Source organism: Homo sapiens, chromosome 2, assembly GCF_000001405.40.
Source record: "Homo sapiens chromosome 2, GRCh38.p14 Primary Assembly".
Classification (NCBI taxonomy): domain Eukaryota; kingdom Metazoa; phylum Chordata; class Mammalia; order Primates; family Hominidae; genus Homo; species Homo sapiens.
Window position 1 is genome coordinate 12,654,861 of NC_000002.12, and position 21,791 is coordinate 12,676,651.

General features: G+C 41.5%; 1 annotated feature.

Annotated features, from left to right (window-relative positions):
- Window positions 9,019-9,234: a silencer, noted in NCBI's record as "fragment chr2:12804005-12804220 (GRCh37/hg19 assembly coordinates)". NCBI's record gives its function as "represses an EF-1alpha promoter that drives an FKBP-Casp9 reporter gene in an ReSE screen in K562 erythroleukemia cells {active_cell/tissue: K562}" and the evidence as "EXISTENCE:reporter gene assay evidence [ECO:0000049][PMID:32094911]".

The window sequence follows — 21,791 nt, forward strand, 5'->3', positions numbered from 1 at the left end:
TCCACATCTGGCAGGAGGGATGACCTGACCTCAGAGAAAGCCATATCAGCTCTGCTACCTTTCTCCCTGTCTTCTTTAACTCCAGAAATTCATTTCTGGGTTTTAGGAATTTAAAGATATGCGTCTTTGGGCCTGGTGTGGTGGCTCATGCCTGTAATCCCAGCATTTTGGGAGGCTGAGGCAGGCAGATCACTTGAGGTCAAGAATTTGAGACCAGCTTGGCCAACATGGGAAACCCCATCTCTACTAAAAATACAAAAATTAGCCAGGTGTGGTGGCACACGCCTGTAGTCCCAGTTGCTTGGGAGGTTGAGGCAGGAGAATCGCTTGAACCCAGGAGGTGGAGGTTGCATTGAGCTGAGATGACACCATTGCACTCCAGCCTGGGCAACAGAGGGAGACTTCGTCTCCAAAAAAATAAAAATAAAAAAATAAAGATATACGTATTTGGCCACATGCTTACCCAAGTGCTACTAGAATTGGTACCCAGCCCAGGGGACACTGCTCTTTTGCAGTGGTGCTTTGTTTTGCTGTTGTCTCTTGTGTCCTCACAGAAAGGTGGGGTGGCAGGCCAGGCCGATGTGAGCCCCACAGTCCCATCCTGTTTCCTCTTTGCATCATTTAGACGGGTCTCTGCTACGGTATATTCTGTACTCACCCCAGGCCAGCTGGATTCCAGCAACATTTTTCAATAAACTTTCTAACAGTCAACTTAAGTTCCAAACTTAAGCAGTGCAAATTCTGCTGGCTTTGAGTCAGATATTATTGGTAATATCACTGAATGCTTCAGTGACCTTGGACAAGTCAATTGATCTAACTGGGTCTATGTTCTTATCTATAAAATGAAGATACTTATCTGCCTTGCCTAACTCATTTGACTGCTATGTAAGATGAAATTTGAAAATGTGTTTTGTAAGCTAAAATAATCTCATCCAAATGAAAGAGAGGCAGAACCATCAACCATCAATGAAAGAATATATATTTTTGTTTGCTTTTTACTTACTTTTGTTTTGTTTTTAATGCAGTGCAATTTGAAATTCAGTGGGTTTTCTTCTCTTTAAATAAAATTATCATTGGAATTAGCATACTTAGAAAACTTGGTAAAGATCTTGAAAATGGGAAATTTTATGTAAGTTGTAACCTTTCATTCGTCACTTCATGCTAACCATGTACTGAAGCCCTATTATATGTCAAACGTATTCTGCTGAGTACTGGAGAAAGATGAATAAGACACAGTTCTGCTTCTGAGTGAGCTCACAATCAGATGAGAGGGAGACAGAGAAGTAACCCTACAATCACAGTCCAGTGCACTGAGTCCTGTGAAGGGAATGTGAACACGGTGCCTGCGGGAGTGATCAGGAGAGCTGCCAAACCTAGCCCAGGTTCAGGGAGCCGAAGTCACTGAAATACACATAGGAGTTAATAAAGCTAAAGAGGTAGGGGAGGCCGGGCACGGTGGCTCAGGCCTGTAATCCCAGCGTGTTGGGAGGCCGAGGCAGATGGATCATGAGGTCAGGAGTTCAAGACCAGCCTGGCCAGGATGGTGAAAACTGTCTCTACTAAAAATACAAAAATTAGCCAGGCACGGTGGCAGGTGCCTGTAATCCCAGGTACTCAGGAAGCTGAGGCAGGAGAATCACTTGAACCCAGGGGTTGGAGGTTGCAGTGAGTGGAGATCACAACACTGCCCTCCAGCCAGGGTGACAGAGTGAGACTCCGCCTCAAAAAAAAAAAAAAAAAAGAGGGGATACCAAGTAGAGGGAGGGGATTTGTAAAGAATTTGAGATGAAAAAAGGCTTTGTACTTTCAGAGCGTTATAAAGAGCCCTGCATGGCTAGAGGATCTGGCGTGTAAGTGTCAGAAAGAGTTTAAGTGGGACACAGAGCAGTGGAGGCTTTAAGTTGAGAAGGGGCATGCTCTGATTTCTGTTTTAGAAAGATTACTCTGGAGATGTCTTCAATTAGTTATGTACTGGAATCAGTGAGAGGCAGGGTTTCCCAAACCTGGCTGAACCATCAGAATTATTCAGGGAACTTGTACTCAATTCAGATTCCTAGACCCCTCCTACTCTGAGCTGAGTCCAGGGATGTGGCTTTTGAACACGCTCTCCAGGTGATTCTCATGAAGCCATGGCAACTGTAGTGGGATTTATGAAGCCTCCCAAAAAGAGATGCCAGAGTCCTTAGCCCCCTAACCTATGAATGTTTACCTGGTTTGAAAAAAGGTTTGGCTGATGTATTTAGAGATCGTGAGAGAAGCAGCTTCTCCTGGGTTTTCCAGGTAAGCCCTAAGTCTGCTGACTTGCACCCTTAGAAGACAGGCGGAAGACAAGAAAACACAAGACAAGAGGAAAAGGCAGAGATACAGCCAGAAGGCCCAACAGGAACTGGCAGAGGAAAGGAACAAAATACCTAGAGCCTCCAGAGCAAGTTCAGCCGTACCCATTTCTGGATTTCAGACTTCTGGACTCCAGAATTCTGAGAGGATAACTTTCTGTTGTTTTGAACTTCCCAGTTTGTAATAATTTGTTACGGCAGCCCTGGGAAGCTAACACACCAACCGATGATAACTTAGCTTTTCATTTACTAGGCTCCATGATGGCAGGACAAATGGTCACAAAACTGAAGCAAAACAGAATACATTGTTAGATGGAGTTTGTTAAGAAAACAGCAAATAGTATACTGAAAAAAATAATTTAAACCTGAGCCATAGTTCCATCCTCGTCCTAGGCTGAGCTTTGAGCACTGCCTTCGTTTCCCCTTCCCTTCTCCTTTCATTTGATTTCAAGGCGCCATGTTTTTCTCACTCCTGGGGAAAGTGGCCATGTGGGCAACCTTAAAAACAAACAAACCTATTTGTGTCTCACCGGAAGCCTCAGTCACCAGCTCTCATGGGAAAACTGCCAGTCACTGGTTGCCTTGAAAAGTCAGGCCTCTGAGGATGCAGGGCTTCGAGGAGGCAGTTTCCCTAGTATTTCACTCTTGATCCTGGTATAGGGGTGGTGCAGGCCAGAAACCACTTCATTGAGGCATCTGAGTCCTGCTGACCGGACACCAAGGAGTTTCTGTATTCATTGTGTCAGGTTGTAAGAAGAGAGTTTCCTTAATGGGTAGAGAGAGAGAGGGAAAGAGAGAAAGAGGGAGTATGTATATGTGCATTCGTGTGTATGTTTGGGTGTCCTTGTGTCTGGGCATATATAAGCCTGTGTATGTCTGTGTGTGTCTGTGTTCAGCTCCTCCCCAGGCGACATTTATTTAGGAAATAATTTTCATGATAGTAAAGAAACTTCCTGAGCATCTAATGTACCTCAGGCCCTATTGAAAACCAAGAGGACACAGAAGGAAATGAGAGATGCAGTAGCTGCCCTGGAAACCATTCTCAGACCAGTGGAAAGACCCACAGTGTAATGTAAAAGTGGAGGAAAATGACTTTGGGCTCAGACAAATCTCAATTCAAATTCAGGTGCTGTCCTTCATCAGCTGAGTGATTATTAACAAGTTTCCTAAGCTCTTAAACACTTTTAATTCTTTATCTGTAAATGAAAATAATACTATCTACTCTCAAGGTTGTTGAAAGAATTTCATGAGTCAATATGTGCAGAGCCTTTGATGTAGTTCCTGTTACAAACTAGTTCTCAGTAAAAGGGAGTCACTGGTATTTTACATGTGTTACAGTAGAAGTAGGCGAAAGATCCAGTAAACACAACAGAAAAGAAGGAACTAAGGTAGCCTGGTGGACTCAGGAGAATCTTTTCAGGGATGTCACAAAGAATCAGGAGGCTGCCAAAATGGCTAGTGATAGGGTTTAAGAAGAAAGTTAGAGTTGCATCTGGGAGAAAGGGTCATCAAGAGTCCTGGCTTCCGTGTTAAGCTTGACCTGGTTTCCATGTCAACCTCTACTGTGTAGGTTGTGGAGAAAAACCTACCTGGTTTTCTAATTAATGCTGATTGAGAAATAACACTGTGTCCTGTAATTTTATACTTAGGAAATAGAAACTATTTATTCAAATAGTGCAGTGTTTCGCCTTATAGAATCATAGGGCACACAAGCCAATCAATTAAAGAATTAAGTCTTACCTACCCTTCAGTTGGGGAAGGTGCATTCAACTACAAAGATTTTCTAAAACACTGATTTTTATCCTGCTTAGGTCTAAGACAGAAATGAAAAAAAAAACTTTATACATTTAACATTTATCATTCTTTTGCTTTAAAAATACCATATTATCACATTTTCTGATTGGTATGAGGCCATTTTTATACATCAGTTATTCAATGTCACCATTGATGGACCCAGTTCCAGCCATTTACCAATGGCAAAGTGCCCCCAGCTACATAGCTCACAGGGGTCACGTCTGCCCTTGTCTTGATCATGAGTCTCTTCTTTAGCTGTGTGTGGTGTGTTCTTGTCAAGCTGAACCGTGGCTCAAAAAGTGCATTTGTACATAGGATTTTGTCTCATTTTAATCCTCACAATAGTCCTGGAAAGCAAATATCATTATCCTCATTGTAAAGAAGGCTTCAAATACAGTGAGCAACTCACCTAAGAACGTGCAACCAAGAAATGGCAGATTCAAGCTGGGTTTATTTGACTCAAAGTCTAATCTCATTTGCACACCAAAGCCTTTTCTATTTCCATTAATTCACTTATTTATCCACTAAACAGATATTAGTTGGGTCCACTGCGTGGTCTCCATGCTAGATGCTGAGCTCACCACATATGGCGTTGGTGCCTCTTTCACCTATTTTGGTCCTCATTTTATCCCGTGAGATACAGCAGATTGTCTACTCCTTCAAATGCCTGAACTTGGCTATTGGAGGATCACTCTCATGCCCTACAATAGTATCTCTTATGACCTGGTTTCCAGCTACCACTCAATCCTGGTCTCTTTTCTCTGAATATGCTTCATCTATCAATGCCCTTACAGAAGTATGGTGTTCAGATTCATGTGGAATCATCAAAAATTGCCTTGACCCATGCAGAGCCAAGCCAACCTGTTTCTGCTCATTCTGGAGCAGCTGCCACTAACGAAGCCAAGAAGACTGCAGGAAGATGGACTTCTAGTCTGAAGCAGTGTTCGCTTCCCATCTTCACAGTGATCCCCTTTACACAGAGAAAATTAGAATGAGGTATACCAAAACAGAAAAGCATCACCAAATGTGAAAATCATTCCAAGCCTTGGAACCCACATACATCTGAATTTGTTTGTTTGTTTGTTTGTTTTTTAGACAGAGTCTCACTCTGTTGCCCAGGCTAGAGTGCAGTGGTGTGATCTCATCTCACAGCAACCTCTGCCTCCCAAGTCCAAGCGATTCCGCTGCCTCAGTTTCCCAAGCAGCTGGGACTACAGGTGCACACCACCATGCCCAGATACTTTTTTGTATTTTTGTAGAGATGGGGTTTCACGTTGTTGGCCAGGCTGGTCTCAACTCCTGACCTCAAGTAATCCACCCACCTCAGCCTCTCAAAGTGCTGGAATTAATTTTTTTTTTTTTACCAGCTCAATTCACTGAGCTGCATATTCCACAGTCTACTGTTTTATTAGAACTACCTCCAAACACTCCAATAAATCTCAGTGGAGTGCTCTTCTGAATGTTCAGCCCAAATGTTCATGAAAGAGATGTGTAATCACGGTGCTCCATGTTTTTAAATAAGATGAGACAAGTAAAGGCACGTATTCCATAATTCATGAAGTACACTCTTTCAGAAAACTTTTTTTTTTAAGAATTTGATTAATAGTCTAATCATTGCGCACAGAGATTGCTTTCCTAGAAGCTAGAAAATGCATATATGTTTCAGAAAAATGCTGAGGATCCTTTCAGCGGCCTTTCCTCATCTAGGATGGGGTGGTCCGGAAATCAGAATGAGAAGGCAGGCAATGCACTCTCCTTTGCTGCTTTCAGCAGAAATGCTTCTGTAAGAGCCTGAATTAGCCAAGCATTAGGTCTGTTCAACTGGTTACATCCTTAGATGGGAGAGACAGCCTGGTGATCAGCCCAGAGAGCAGTCAGGCTGGCCTGGTATTGACTCCAGGCTCTGTCACTCGCAGGCTGTGTGCCCTGCAAGGGAGTTAGCATATCTGAGCATCAGTTTTCAATTTTCTGGTTGTGAGAATTAAGTCACACAAAGTACACAAAATTCCAGCTTCACAGCAGAGGCTCAATAAATGGCAGCTGCTTTGGGTTCAACATTAACCAAGTTACCTAGGTAGAAAGTCACTTTCCACTCTTAAAGAAAAGTAGACAATTACATTTTTCCCTAAATGCCTGGGTAGAATGCCAACATTTGCTGAGCCCTGTGTCTGTGTAGCAGAGATCAGCTAGGTTCACACACTTAATACTCACACTATCTGTAGTGGGTTGCATTGTTGCCCCTAAAAACATATGCTCACATCCTAATCCCTGGAATCTGAGAGCGTGACCTTATTTGGAAAAATTGTTTTTGCAAATGTAATTCAATTAAGGATCTTGAGATGAGGAGACCATCCTAGATTATCTTGTGGGGGACGGGGTGGGGGCACAAATTCAGTGAAAATGTCCTTATAATAGACTCCCAGAGGACAATGCAAGGTAAAGATGGAGGCAGAGATGGGAGTGATGTGGCCACAAACCCAGGAATGCTGGGGCAACCACTAGAAGCTGGAAGGTGAAGGAATGGTATCTCCCTGGAGCCCCCAGAGGGAGAATATCCCTAACAGATTTCAGACTTCTAGCATCCAGAATTGTAAGAGAGTAGATTTCTATTGTTTTAAGCCACCAAATTTGTTACAGCAAGCCCAGGAAGCTATCATCTTGTCCTTGCCCTGTGGGCATTATTGAGCAAGAAACTTCAGAGAGGTTAAGTAATCAGCCTAAATTCAGACAGTTAGTACACAATGGAGCCAAGATGCAAATCCAAGCCTCCTTCACATGAAAACGCATGAATTTGTTTGTTTCTCCTATTGAATGGTTATGCTTAAATGATCCACAAAGTCTCTTGGATCCAGAATGAATTATTCTTACTCAGAAATGGAAGAGGTCACTGGGAACATCTCAGTCACTCCCATCCAACAAAAGATGATTTTGAATAAATCCAGTAATCCCAGTTTCTCATGGGGTATTCCATATTGTTAGCACTAATAGATATAAACATAGACAGATATTTATTTGAGAGAGCAAAGTATTTGGATAGCTCATTCCCAGTGCCAGTCCAGGGTAAAAAACCTTTTTAAAAAGCTATGCCATAAGGGAAAGTGGAAGAATCAAACAAACAACTGAATTGAGAGCAAGAAGATCCAGGAGTTGCCAGCTGCCTGTAACAGATATGGGTCAAGTCTTGGCCTTACCACCAACTTCCTATTTTATCCCTAAAAAATCATTAAATTTTTCTGGACTTCATTGCCTTCAGCAGAAGACGTAGGAGCTGTAACGTGTTTTTTTGAATGGCTCTTCCAGCAAGATTCCCAAGGACCACCTTTAGAAACATTTGTCAGATATATCTAGATCCTGAAATATACATCTAGTTGGGGCTTGTTTCTGTGGCTACCTTGCCAACAGTCATTGGTTTATTATATAAAGTCCAACAGAAACTTCAAACATCCCACTCAACCAAACATTAAACTGAATACAAAATCCAGGGCCATTTTGAATCTTAGCTGTCAAGGAGGGCTTCATTTTCTAGGCATCAATTTGTCATCTAGTCTAAGCAGGTTTTTCCTACATAAATAACCCCGAACATTTGACATCACTTTGCAGCTTGCAAAATGCTTTCATCCACACATAGTCATCGATTTCCACCCTGTGAGGTAGGCAGGCATCATCTCCCATTCACAGAGGAAGAAGCTGGTCAGAGCCCGTGTACCTTGTGGAAGCAGAAGGAAGAACCAGGACTAAACTCAGGCCCTTCTACAGACAAAACCTCTGTTCTTTCCACTGTAGTTTAGTGCCTGCTGCTGACAGGTGGGCCTGAAAAAGCATTATAATAAGACCTGTTTTTCGATTCTATGAATTAGAGAAATGGCTCTCATTTAATAAGTAAAGATCCCTATTTGTCCTTGAAGCCAGTAGTTTTATTTCATTTTTCCTGGAACATGGGAGACACTGTATGGAGATTTAATGACTAAATGAACAAATGAAAGACAAAATTAATTCATTGATGTGGGAGTTGAAGTCGAAAGAGGAAAAGCAACTTGCCCAGAATCACCCAACAAAGAGTGCCAGAACAGAATTCATTTCTAGATGCCTCATTGTGAGTGCCATATATAACCACATCTCTTTTTTTAAAGCCTTACTTCAGTTATGTTTAATGATGAGAAATATATCTTACATAAGATCCTGGACAATTTAAAATTATAAAATTTCATAATATAAAGATGTGTGGCATACGCTCAAAATCACTGTCTTCTTGAAATAAGGCTATGGGATACTGCAGAAGAACATGTCAGGATTCACTGGAAAGTCTCCTAAGAATATATTTGTGCTATGGTGTGGATGCTGGGTCCACAGTTTAATGTGTTCATCTGTCTCTTGTGCTCACTACTTCCTCTCTGTTCCGGGCTGCAGGCCCAACTCCTTATTTTTTGTTCCCTTCAGCCTAACTGTTCTGGTTATGTAATTGTTCCCTTCACCAGGAGACCTCAGAGGTCACTCACTACAGCCTGATATCAAGATGAGGGCATCCCGTGCTAATTAGACAGTGGCAGACGGCAGGCATTGGCCCCTTCTGCGTGATGCCAGCCACGCAGGCTTCTCTCTGCAGCTCAGGGGGCTGGCATTGAGGATTTTAAGAGCAGGAGAAAATAAAATGTGTCCTTGTGGCAGCTACGGAAGGAGCTGCTGGCCTTCTCTGTCCCCCAGGGGAATATCAAAGGGGAAGAATAGGGAGCCCTTTTGCGGTACTTGGAGCTTATCCCAAGGGCGGCTGCAGTATTTGGGGCTGGGGTGAGAGGGGATGTGGGATTCATGGAATTCACTGCCTGTGCTTAGCCTTATCATCTTGTCCAGATACAATCAAAGCATGCCAAAGATTAATAGGTCCTAAGGGACCAGTTTTATACCTTCATTTCCTCCGCAGAGAGAGAGGAAAGGAAATACCCAAGGTCACTCGGTGAATTTCTGGCAGAGTTCCGTCAAGTCCCATTTGCCCAGAGTGTTCAAGGCTCACTCAAATCAGCACCAAATGTAGCAAGTAAAAGGGCCTCAGGAGTAAAGAATCACCTGTTAACACCTGTTAGAATTAGGTTGTCTGTTCCCTTCTACATCACTGAACTTGGCAAATCTCAGGCACATAATACATACACCCATTTCTGCACAGTCTACCAAGTGTTATTTTTCAAAAATTGAGAAGAGGAGCCTGATACACACAAGCTATTCAGAGTCTGTTTATGCCTTTTATGCACCTGTCTTCCTATCCCATCCATCCTTTCTCCTCGCTTCTGACCTCATCTCATCTTCCCAAGACACATTCCTCATGTGCTTTTCTCGTGTCACAACGCTGCCACATTTCTCAAAACTACACTTTGGCCCCTAACAACTCCGACCTCATTAGCTCTAATTTCTTTGTTGTCTAGCCCCCAGGAAACCCTGGAGGGTGTTCATCCTAGATTTACCCACTGAGGAGAGTCAGCAACCATCATCTGGGTGTGGCTGTATTAAATTGGAGTCATTTACAAACGATTTTTCTGATTCAAAGAATCATAAAATAAAATTCGATACTGTAGTGGCCAGGAAATTCAAATTCTAGCCTTATTGACTTAATTGGTAACCTCGAAGTTCGTCTTTCTCTTACCTTGGTCTAATTTTTTTTCATCTCTTAGAGGAAACAGTGAAACTTAAGTTCTGGCATCAGTGTTATATAAGCTTATGAATTGGAAGAGATTATGCAGGTAAAGAAAGAGGCTTTTCTGAATTAATGATGTCTTCCATCAAATCCATCACAAAGAAATTCATTCCCTAGAGAATTATTCAGCTAAGCAAATGCTATGTAACCATAAGAAATGGCATTGATTTTCTTAATGTCACAAGCTGTAAACTAATTTATAAAAAAAAGAAAAACGAACTCTCTTAGCCCACTGGGAGCCCTTTCTCTGGTGATATATTTTCTTCATCTGAACAGAGCATCTCAGATCAAAATATTTTGGGCAACTTCTGAAAAAGCTGAATTCTGCAATCACAAGAATGTTTGAAGTAGAATTTTGTCCTACGCTCTCAATCTCATTTGATGCCTCCTTTATCAACTTTCAAATTTTCCCAGGATTTTCTTCCATTGTTCGTGCATTCTCTATATCTCAAAGGAGGAGAGAGTGTTTGTGTTGTCTGAGATTAACCTGGCCTCTTAACTCTGCATCCCAGTCATTAACTACCCACGCTTCTTTCTAATTCTCCCAATATCTTCCTCTCAATGGATTCCTTTTAAATTCCTCCCTCCCACACTGCAAGAAACTCCAAGTGATCTCCTCCACAGGAGATGAGCCAACTTTCTCCTCTGCTTGTTGACAAACACCTGTAAAAACCTGGCCTTATTCTCCTGAAACAGGGACCTCCTGCCCTGCATCAAATCTGACCCCTTTCACTTTTTACCTGGATTCTGCACTTACCCCTGGCCCATGACCCAGCCTCCAGACCTACTCCAGCTCAGCCCTCTTCTCCATACCACAGCCAGAGTGGAATGTCATTTCCTTAGGTCACTCCCTGCTTAACAGCCCCAGTGTTTCCTCATTGTTTCCAAGAAGCCCACACTTCCTGGCTTCTGTCCTATGACCTGGCACTGTCTAGCCAAGTCTTGTATTGCATTTGCATGTGTGCCTCTGTTAATTCCCACCTTCCTTCCTCTACTTCAGAGGGGAAATGCCTAGGCAAGCTTTATTAGCATTCTTAATGTGGCTTATATAAGCAGAGGTACCCTTAGCCCACCTGTCACCAGCCTGTCTTTCCATGAACCACGTATATCCCAGGCATCCTTAGGAGAGCACAGAAGACTGCACCAAACCTCTCCAGGCTGGCTCTCTCCACCTCCAACCTACATATCAGAAATACCAGGCTTGCTGATGGTATCTGTGTTTTTAATTCTTTCTCATTTTTTACTTAATGTTTACTCTGTCTACAATTACTCTCTTGAATGTTAATTTTACTAGTAACAGTGATAACAAAACTATAATTAATATTTCTATTGTATAATTTTATATCACATTTATACATTATATTTTTAAATTAATTTTTTATTTGAGATAATTCTAGATTCACATGCAATTATAAGAAGTAATACAGAGAGCTCTCATGAACCTGTACCCAGTTTTCCCAGTGGTAACATGTTACAAAACTATAGTGCAATAACCCAACTAGAACACTGACACTGATGAAAGCAAGATACAGAACATTTCCATCACCACAAGGATCCCTCCTGTTGCCCTGGATAGCTACATTCGCATCCGACCCAACCCACCCCTCCTCAACCCCGGCCAATGAATATGTTCTCCATTTCTAAAATTTTGTCATTTCAGGAATCTTCTATACATGGAATCATACAGTATATAATCTTTTGAGATTGGCTTTTTCAATTTGTTTTCCACATTTTTATTATTAGTATAGGTAAATGTGATTTTTTTTTAATGTGTTGATCTTGTGTCCTGTGACTTGATGAAATCATGTATTAGTTCTGGAAACTGGAAGAGGGGGTTGTTTGGTGGTTGTTGTTGTTGTTTTTCAATTTTTGTAGATTCCTTGAGATTTTCTTCAGAGAAAATCATATCATCTGCAAATAAAATAGCTTTTTGTTTTGTTTTGTTTTTCCAATTTGTTAGGCTTTTATTTATTTTTCTTGCCTTATTGCAGTGGCTGGAAATTCCAGTACTTGGATACAAATGATGGAAATGTACATCCTTGCCTTGTTCCTGCTCTTAGGGGTAAAGCATTCAGTCTTTCATCATTCATGTAATGTGTTGCCTCCTTGGAACCACCATATAATCTGTCTGGAACTCAGTTTTCTAATCAGCAAACCACAAAGACTAGATTTGGTCCATCAGTGAGTTACAAAGTAAAGTCTCTAGGAGATAATCCTGGGTCCATGTTTTTCTGTTTTATGCTATTGGTATTTTGATAACATTTAGTATGAAAAGGAATGCTACCCTTTAAAAAAATATTTCAATATTACTAAAAGAGAAGACTTCATGGTTTTTCTGATTCTAAAGTCCCCTGATTCTGTGGTCCCTTTGCAACCTTGATCATCATGGTGATGCTTCAGTTTGTATACTCTCTATGAGGCACTTTTGCTTCATTCTTTCATTTAATTTTACCTATAATCTTAAGTGTGATGGGTGGTACTGCATTATTGTGCACTGGAAGCAATTAAATTTAAAGACATTAAGTGATTTGTTCAAGGTCACACAGAAAACAAAGAGAAATTGCTCTTCATTTCGCAATGCTCGTGAGACCAGAAATATACACAATTAACATAGATTTAGTATATCTGCTCCTATGCAGGCCTGTCAATTTACAAACTTTGGCTGGGCGCATACTTTGTGCCAAACACAGTACAAGAGAATATCCAGCTTAAGGGGGAAGAAAATGGAAATTTAAGGCACTGAACTCCTTGAAGACAGAAAACATTTCTGACCCATCTCTGGATCCTAGCACAGTGTCTAGAACACACAAGCACTCCATAGACAGTGAATAAATCAATGATTTGCTAATGCGTGTGCTATGTGACACATAAATGGCTCAAATACGCATTCTGGGGCTCTCTGGAGGAACAAGCATTGAACTGAAATTTCAGAGCTGATAGGATGCATCTCAGAGGAAGCTCTAAGAGAGCATCATTTGGTGAGAGGAAGGCTGACATAGGAGAAAGGTCAGATTTGAGTTTGAGCCCCAGTTTATCGAGGTCTATATCTCTTCACTGTGGGACAGTTACTTAATCTCACTAAACCTCAGCTTCTTAATTTATACAATAGGAAAGAAATATTCACCTCAAGGGTTATTAAAAATATTTGTGCTCATATAAAGAAGTAACAGACAGCTTAGCTTGTAATAGATGCTCAGTAAAAGGTATCTCTGGCCAGGCACAGTGGCTTATGCCTATAATCTCAGCACTTTGGGAGCCCAAGGCAGGTGGATCACTTGAGCCCAGGAGTTCAAGACCAGCCTGGGCAACATAGCAAGACCCTTCTCTGCAACAAATACAATAAAATAAATTAGCCAACATAGTGGTGTGTACCCGTGGTCCCAGCTACTTGGGAGGCTCTGGTGGGAGAATCATTTGAGACCTGGAGTTTGAGGCTGCAGTGAGCTATGATCACACTACTGCACTCCAGCCAGGATGATACAGTAAGAACCTGTCTCAGTTTTTTTTAAAAAAAGACACCTAAAAAGGTTGACTCAGGAGCTGTCTTTATAAAACTGAAGGATTCATTAAAAAAAATAGGAGTGGCTTTAAGAAGATGTATGTTTAGTTTTATTTAAGCATCCGTTTCTGGTCTCATTCAGAAATGTCCCCAGTAGAGTTTTCCATTCACAGGGAGTCAGGTTTAGTATTACCTACATTTCTCTAAGTAATTCCTGCTCAAGGAACCTCGGCCATTAATCAGGCATACGTGGATAAGCCTTGCTGTTCACTGCTTTCAGGCCAAATCTGGTTTGAAATATTTAAATTAAAGCATCTTCTTTCAACAAAAAGTCTTGTCAGTTGGCTACATGAGATTAAAATACCTTTATGAAAATTGTAAGTTGTCAGCTCCAGGAGGACTAGAGATAAAGCAAGCTCTCAACACGGCTGCAGTCCATTTGGGTTTCAATTGACTTGTTTTCTTCTGAGCTTTGATTTAAAATCTGTGCCCTGTCTGAATCATCGACCACTACTCCAGAGGGGATTCTAGACACAATGAAAGATGAAGAAGGGAAAATTCAAGAAGATCTCAAAGTAAGATGCCCAATATTGCAGCTCTTTCCCGCCTGAATTTGTCTGTTTGGAATGTGCAGTGGCTTCACCCACATTTGTGGACCCCAAAGTAACAGATGATTGGACATAATCACCAGACTGTGAATTAGGAACCCTGTGTGAGCCTGGGCAGCGACCTTTCCTTCAAGGGGTCACAGCCCCCTGCAAGAGGAGGCTGCACAAGTGAATCTCTCAAATTGCTTGAAGATCTACATTTCTCTGAACTTCGAACTACCATGAGAGCTTCATTTTTCTCTTCCCTCCCAGCAAATGTGGCCAGGCATTGGGCATTGAGTCACGTATAGTTTCACAGAAACCTTTGTCTATCCTAATATTCTGAGATAAAAAGAAGAAAATGAGAATTGAATTCCCTGGTCATTAAAATTCCTTCCTAGACAACTGAGTTCATATGCACTTGAACGAATTATCCAAGAATCAGTGTTAGTGCTTAATTGGAAGACAGAGAAAACCACAGAGTCTGACAAGAGAAGGCAGATAAAATAGAAATGTCTCCAGGCACTGAAAAGTTTGACAGGCAGAAGAGTTTGTGATTTGAAAGACAGCTAATGCTGTACGTGAGTCAGCATCAGATAACTAAAAAAAGTTAAATAATTAAGCTTATATAATAGCTATCTGATTGTATATCTAGACTTGGATTTAATTAACATTTCTAACCTCTCTTTGTCAGCAACTATATATTATTAAATTTAAAAGTGAAGAACTCTAATTATTTTTTTAAATTATTCATTCTACAGCATATCAATGAACTTATTTCCAAATTTAGCAAACTATTATCATTCCAATTCCCGCAGCCCCTGCAACACATAAAACTTACAATTAGTTTTCTAAAAGAAAAGAAATTTGATGATGTGGTTCCCCATCACCATTTTCTACAGGTAAAATTGAAATGTAAATTATATCATTAATTTAATTCATCAGAATATTTACTGTATGACAGGCCCTTTTCTAGGCATGGGGTTGGGAGTGTGAGGGAGATATTGCAAATTTTAACCAGACTGACTTGTCACCTTTGAGGAGCCCCCAGGCAATAGGAAAGACAGGTCATTAAACACCATTGAAGGTGAAGGAAGTATGAGATCTGCAAACAGGACAGAATAAGGCTCGCAGGGTCTGGCAGAACAACTGGGGAGGAAGATAGGAAGAATCTCAGGGATTGAATCAGGGCCGAGTAGAAGGTGTCCACACAACATCATAGAAGAATTATGAAGGTACGTTGCTGCAAAGTTGATCACAAATCATGCCTTAGTACATAATTTTAATTTACAAACTACTTTAGAAAAAGTGGATGTCTACTCAACATTTTCAGAGGGCAAATAAGATACAAACCTAGATTGCAGAGCATTAGATGGTAACGTCTAAGTGCTGTAGGCATGATGTGGGGGAAGAAGGGGAGAGCACTGACCTGGATCTAGAACTTGAGGGATGGACAAAATTGAAAAGTGAGGAAGAATTTGGCGGAAAGGTGCTAAATGTTGAATGTTGCTGGTGCTGAGAGTATAAGAAGGCATAAGTTACAGCCTGAGGGTGAAAGACTTTGAATGTTAAGCCAATCAATTAAGATTTTATTTGTGGAATTTCTACAAATCTACAACAACCATATACCCAATAAACGAGTATACTCAAATTTTGTTAAAAAATGGTGTTTCTATTCTACTTATCGTACTCCAATGAACCAATAAGGTGACCTTCAAATTTGATGTTCTCTGTTCATTCCAGGTATACATACATCTTCAATTTCTCCTGTTTTCTCAGTGTACTTAGTAATCATACCCTCTTACCCTCTCAAAAGTATCTTGGATGATAAATTATTTGGACACCCTAGTTATACCTTCAACCACCTCTCCTGTCATCTGAAAGATGTGACCACATTCTCTGGGGGCTCTGGCCTATGGAAGTTTGGGCTCCCTGGCTTTGTTTACACTTTGCTTTCCTCCAGGTTAGCCTCTAGTTTATTTTGATACTGGCCCCCATACTTTCTCTCTTTTGGATTTGATGTTTGCATATATGGCTTTACTCTTTTGGCCTTAACCTCAGTTGCTTTGGAAAAGGCCCCATTTATAGCCAAACCTTGCTCAGCAGGAGTGGCACCCCAGTCCTAGCTTTGCATCTGTATTAAATGCCTCAACAGGCAGGCCACGCACCAGGAAGCTAGTAGCACAAATGGGAATATTTCTAAAAACAATTGGATTTTTGGTAGTTTTTACAGAGCATTCACACAGTCAATTTAGTTGAAATTGCTTTTTATTTTGCAGCTGAGTTTTTGGTTTTTGTTTTTATTTCAGATGAAAACATGAAAATCATTGCGATGGATAGGGCCTCTCTCCATTGTAAAATCTTCCTTTTAACCTGCTTGGACCCCATCCTCCCACTCCTGATTCAGTAGGTCTGGGGTGGGCCCGGGACTGACCCTAACCCTCAGTATGAAATGGGTGAAACAAAAAGATATATCGATGAGGCCAAAAGAGTAAGAGGTCATCTAGGGATGGGTTTGATCTTGGAGGGTGTTATTAAATTTGAACAAGGCCAGGGGAGTAGGATTTAATTGAGTCTAATTAAGGGTGGGTGTTGTAGATGGGGAATAGAATGAAAGCACCACCTGCTCTGGGAATAAGGACTTCTCTAGAAAGAAACTACATATCCTCACTGGTCGCATGTTCTCTAATTCTACAAGATTGGGATATAATTCTGTTCCTCTACCCATCCTGTCCTGGCCATGAAACAACACTTGGCCTTATATCTTCTCCTATTCTGTGGACTTTCTAAGAGGACTTGGACTACCACCAGAAGTACTCAATAATACCAGCACAATCTGTGCCCTTTTACTTGATTTCAACTCTTTCCATATGTACTAAATACCAAGGAAGATGAAGAAAAGGAGGTATTGTCATTTACCATATGCCAATAGCTTTACGTCTTCATTCTAGGTGCTTTACATAAATAATAACCTTTGATTATCATAAAGATCAACACTAGCAGGTGATGTCAATTATCTCTTATTTTAAATGAGAAAACTGAGGCTCAAAGTGTTTTTGAGAAATCGCTTAAAGAACTACTAGTAAAAGTGGGAATCAAATGCCAGTTCATTCTAGTGCAACACACTGACTCATAGAGCTGCCTCTGGAAGATTCTATTAGAAACAAAAAAGTTCAATAACCTTTGGTTCCTGCACTCCCAACAGATTACAATCTAGCAGGGAAGCAAGTGCACATAAATCTATCCTGAACAGTAGCAACGTACCCAGAAAACATACTGCATAACCCTTCAGGATTCAGCTCAAACATCCCATTGCCTAAGAATCATTCCACAAATATTTCCGTCACAAGTATTGCTCTCTAGTTTCCACAGCATGAGTGTGTGTGTGTGTGTGTGTGTGTGTGTGTGTGTGTGTGTGTATGTGAATATGTAAGTGTGTGAGAGGGATTTTATATATATATATATATATATATATATATATATATATATATATATAAAGCACTTACCTGCTTTTATAAGTTGAAATTACTTGCTTATTTTTCTGTCTTCTCAACTGAGCATGAATTTTTTGGAAGGAGACAGGAGGAAGATGTGTGTTAGGAGGTGGTAATTAATCACTATGTCCCCAGTACAAAGCACAGTATACAGTACATAATTAACAAAACAAATGTCTAGTGAATAAATATATGAAACCGAGAGAGAGAGAGAGAGAGAAATCAACTGACCTACTGTATTTGTGAATTATGATGTGTCCTATGTTAAACCATCCTATACTCTAATTAGACCCCCTATTTTGACATTTTAATGTACTACTAGAAAATTATATGAAATATAACATTATCATGCTAAGTTCTCATTCACTATATTTTTATTCAAGGAATAGTCATTGAATGTCTTAGAAACCACTTCCCACCTCAGGTGTTAGGAGTATAAATGCAAATACAATGAGAGTCGTGTCCTCAAGGGACTCGCAGCTGGTTTAATGACTTTATGAAGATGCATGGCACAGTTCTGTCCCAATGGTAATCCTGTTTATGGGGTCTGTGGGCTCCATTTCTTAACTAGCTTGTGGCAGTTATCACTTTGCCAGGCACATAGAGGGTGTGCAGAGAATTCTTGCCAATGGGGAGGGCTGCACACCGCTCGGCTGTGGGGTTGCGTCAGTGACGGAACAGGAAAAGGGAAGGGGAATCACCCTATTTTCTGGAACATAACCCACCAGGAGGACTTTGCTGAGTGTATATTTGGGTGCAGAATCTTTAGCAAAATAATATGGAATGATACATTTCATATGCTATAACCAGGTTCTCTCTGAATGAAACAACGCCCCCTGACACCCTCTCACTGTTTCCCTAAGGATTTTCCTGGTGTGTGGGTTGGAGTATAACACAATTTGGGAGCCCTTCCAGATTTTCCATCTCAGCAAGCATGTATATGTACTCACGAACACTAGCAAGAAAAAGACAAAAAAAAAAAAAACTCCACACTTTTTAAAGGAAAAAATGAGAGCTCTTATTTTTCTTTGTTCTCAGGAACCCAATTCTGGGTAAAGCAAATTTGCTGTGAATATGGAAGCAGCATAATCAGTGCCTTGGACATTGGCTCATGTGACTGTAACTGAGGGGTGGGCCTCTGCCCTGCTATGAGGGGAAAGCCTTCCTTCTGGTGCCACTGGGTTACAGGAAAAATATGCTTGAGGTCCAAGGGGAGCATGTATCCAGGCACAGATGGTACGTGACGTGGCAGATCTTGGCTGGAGAAACTCCAGCCAGTTTTAGTTCTGCTGGTGGGGACTCCAGGAAAATCCAAGCTCCTACTTTGCCAATCCAGGAGGTATCATCACAGCCTTTGCTTCTGAATTAAGCCATGAAGCTTCCTGGAATGGGAAATACCTCATCAAGAGAATATCGACCTAAAAGCAAGGCAACCAGTCTCCTCCAAAAAATAAAAATTTTAAACAATAAAGCCCAGGGAGTTGATATTTTCCCATTCTTTACCCTCTGAAGTGGTAGAAAAGACAACTGGTTTACAACCATCTTTGCTTTCCATGTCTGATGCTGCAGCTGCTGCCATGGAAGCTGAAATGTAAAAGATAATAATTCCCTACTAAACCTACAAAAGCCTTTCACAAGCTTCCTTCTGCTTCAGTATTCTCTCAAAGCATCTCAAAAGAGAGCAACTTCAACAAGATTTTTTTGAAACAGAAAAACAGCCAGGTACCCCAACAGGGGAAGGGGCCTGGAGGTGCAATCCTGACATCTGAGTCCAGGTTTTGCTACTAACCAGCAAATCACTTTACATCTGTGAGCTTCACTGCTCTCATCCATTAAATGGGATGACAATCTTACAGCATTGCTGTGAGATGCTGTTCATCTTTATCACCTTTGAAGTTTAATGAAAGTGCTAGCTATTATTAATGATGCTGAAACAACCACTACTCGTTTAAATGTCATCTCCTTTTCATTTCAGGGATTCTTTTCCCTGCTGCATCTGCCTGCTTATCAGAGGCTCCTGGGATTCTGAGAGTGATCTTCTACAGGAAGCCGTTGAGAAGGGCATTGGGTCTTTTGTTACCAGGCACAATGAAGGCAAGTTGTTTTTGAGATTTTAGCTTCGAAAATGTGGTCAAAAAGTGCTCAGTTTGGGGCCAATTCAGGAGCTTCGTTTTTGGTTTCTCATTTGGGGAAGCTCCTTGAGGGTGGAGGTGCCGTCTGTTTTGATCATGGCTCCATTTGCCTGCTGATGCTCAGGAAACGTCGGGTGGTGAATAAATGTAGGGCACTGGGGAGCCTGGAAGAAATTCAAGGCATCTCTTCCTGTATCCATGAGTTTATTATTGAATCCACTTTAAACAAGACCAGTCTCTATTTAGGCTCTCTTTCTATAATGAATATTTCCTCAAGAATAGCTTATTTTCACATAAAGTTTCCACCTGCCCTCTTTTCAATTAGAGCTGTGGAAAAACTGAAACACAACACAGCAACAACAAAACCCCGAGTGGTGAAAAATGCCGACTAAGGCCCTGCCACATGACCAGGGTTGAAGTCCTGGAGCTGCTATCAGTTGGATGACCTTGGACAAGTTAATGCACCTCCCTGAGACTTAGTTTCCTTATCTATAAAATAGAAATAATATGAGTACCTGCCATTTGGAGAACATTTGAAGGTCAAAATGTGAAACTTAATATCAAGTTCTTTAAATAGTGTCTGGCATGTGACTAAGGATCTACAAATTATTATCATGAGGGCAATGTCTAGACTTTTAAGACAAGCTGCCTCTGTCTCCAGGCTGTGGGAACACTGCATTTCAGGGCCTTTGGAAGTCTTGGAACTCCAGGAACAGATCCCAAGCCAGGCTAATCTGCTTCTGTTGGGAACAGGGACGGCCCACAGTGGATGCTGCTGGTGGAAATAGGCTCCTGACCCAAATCTACCCCAAGCCATCTTCAACTCCCTTGTAGATGTCCCTGGAGAACTTCTCAATTAGCATGTCCAAGTTTGACCCAAGTACTGTCAGAGTTCCTATCTTGGTCAGCAATGATATCATCCCTATTGTTCACCCCTGTCGGAAGCATGAGCCCCTTTCTAGCCTCCTCCCTCTCGCTCCGAGCCAGGAGGTCATCAAGACCTCCTGAATCCATCTCCTTGCCACATCGAGAAGCCTAGAAGCCAACCCCTCCTCCTATGTTCCTCTGTTGAGCAGGCTTTCTCGTCCCTCACACTGTGAGCTGGTCTCCTTATCTTTAGTCTCACAATCTGGTGCTATTAGAAAGTCAGTCCTTCCTCCTGCTCACAGCTATGGAATTAGTCATCTTAAGTAACAGATACGACCCCGCCCACTCTTCTCAAAGTCCTCATGTGGCCCTTCCTGGTCCAGGATAAAGGGCACAGCCCTCATTGTTGTGTGTGGGTCCCAGGAGCTCTGGCCCTGCTCTGCTAGCCTTCCAGCCTCTTTCCCACCACACCCCTCCCACCCTCTGCTCTGCCAGCAGAGGACACCCCTGTACCTGTCACTAAGCATACCGGCTCCCCTTCATGGAACGCCATACCTGATCAACTTTCCCTCCTTTACTTAGGCTCATTTGATTGTCACTTCCTCTGAGCCTCTTCTGCAGGCCTGAGGTCCTGACCCTCTCCTTCTCACCCTGGTATTTGGGATGATCACTCTTCGTTCTCATACTGCTCTGAGCTAGAGACCTTATTGCACGGCATGGTCATTGTGGACTCGCTTTTCCTCTCCCCAGCTGCACTGTGACTCATATAGTAATTGCCAGGATAATCTCTCGTTTATCAAAAGCCATGGTATCCAGGGCAGAGCTTGGAACAAAGCACGTAATCACAAAAGGCTTAATAAATGGATGAAAATCACTAATTAATCAAGTGTCAGGTATGGCTCTTTCCTCCAAGAAATCAATATGAAACAATTAGAGAACATGTAAAATCGTCTGCCTAGCATGCTATGAACGCAGCAGCTACGTGGGCCACTCTCTAAGTCACCTTCTAAGTGAGGCTTTCGCTAATCATCTTACTTAACATGCCCTCCCCCTGCACCCCTCATTCCCCCTTTCTGTTTTCTTTCTTTCCAAAGCCCTTATCATCATGTAATGTAGTGTGCATTGTACTCCTTATTTTCTTATTTCTTTCTTTATCCCTCTAACTAGAATGTAAGCCTTATAAAGACAGGAATTTTGCCTGTTGTGTTCATTGTTGTACCTAGAATGGTACCTGACACACTGTAGGTGCTCAATAATGCTATATGAAGGAAAAAAAGAAAGAAAGAGAGAGAGAGAGAGAGAGAGAGAAATAGAAAGATAAAGAAAGAGAGTGAGAGAAAGAAAGCAAAAGAGAGAAAGAGAAAGAAAGGAAGAAAGACACTAATGAACTATTTGTGTT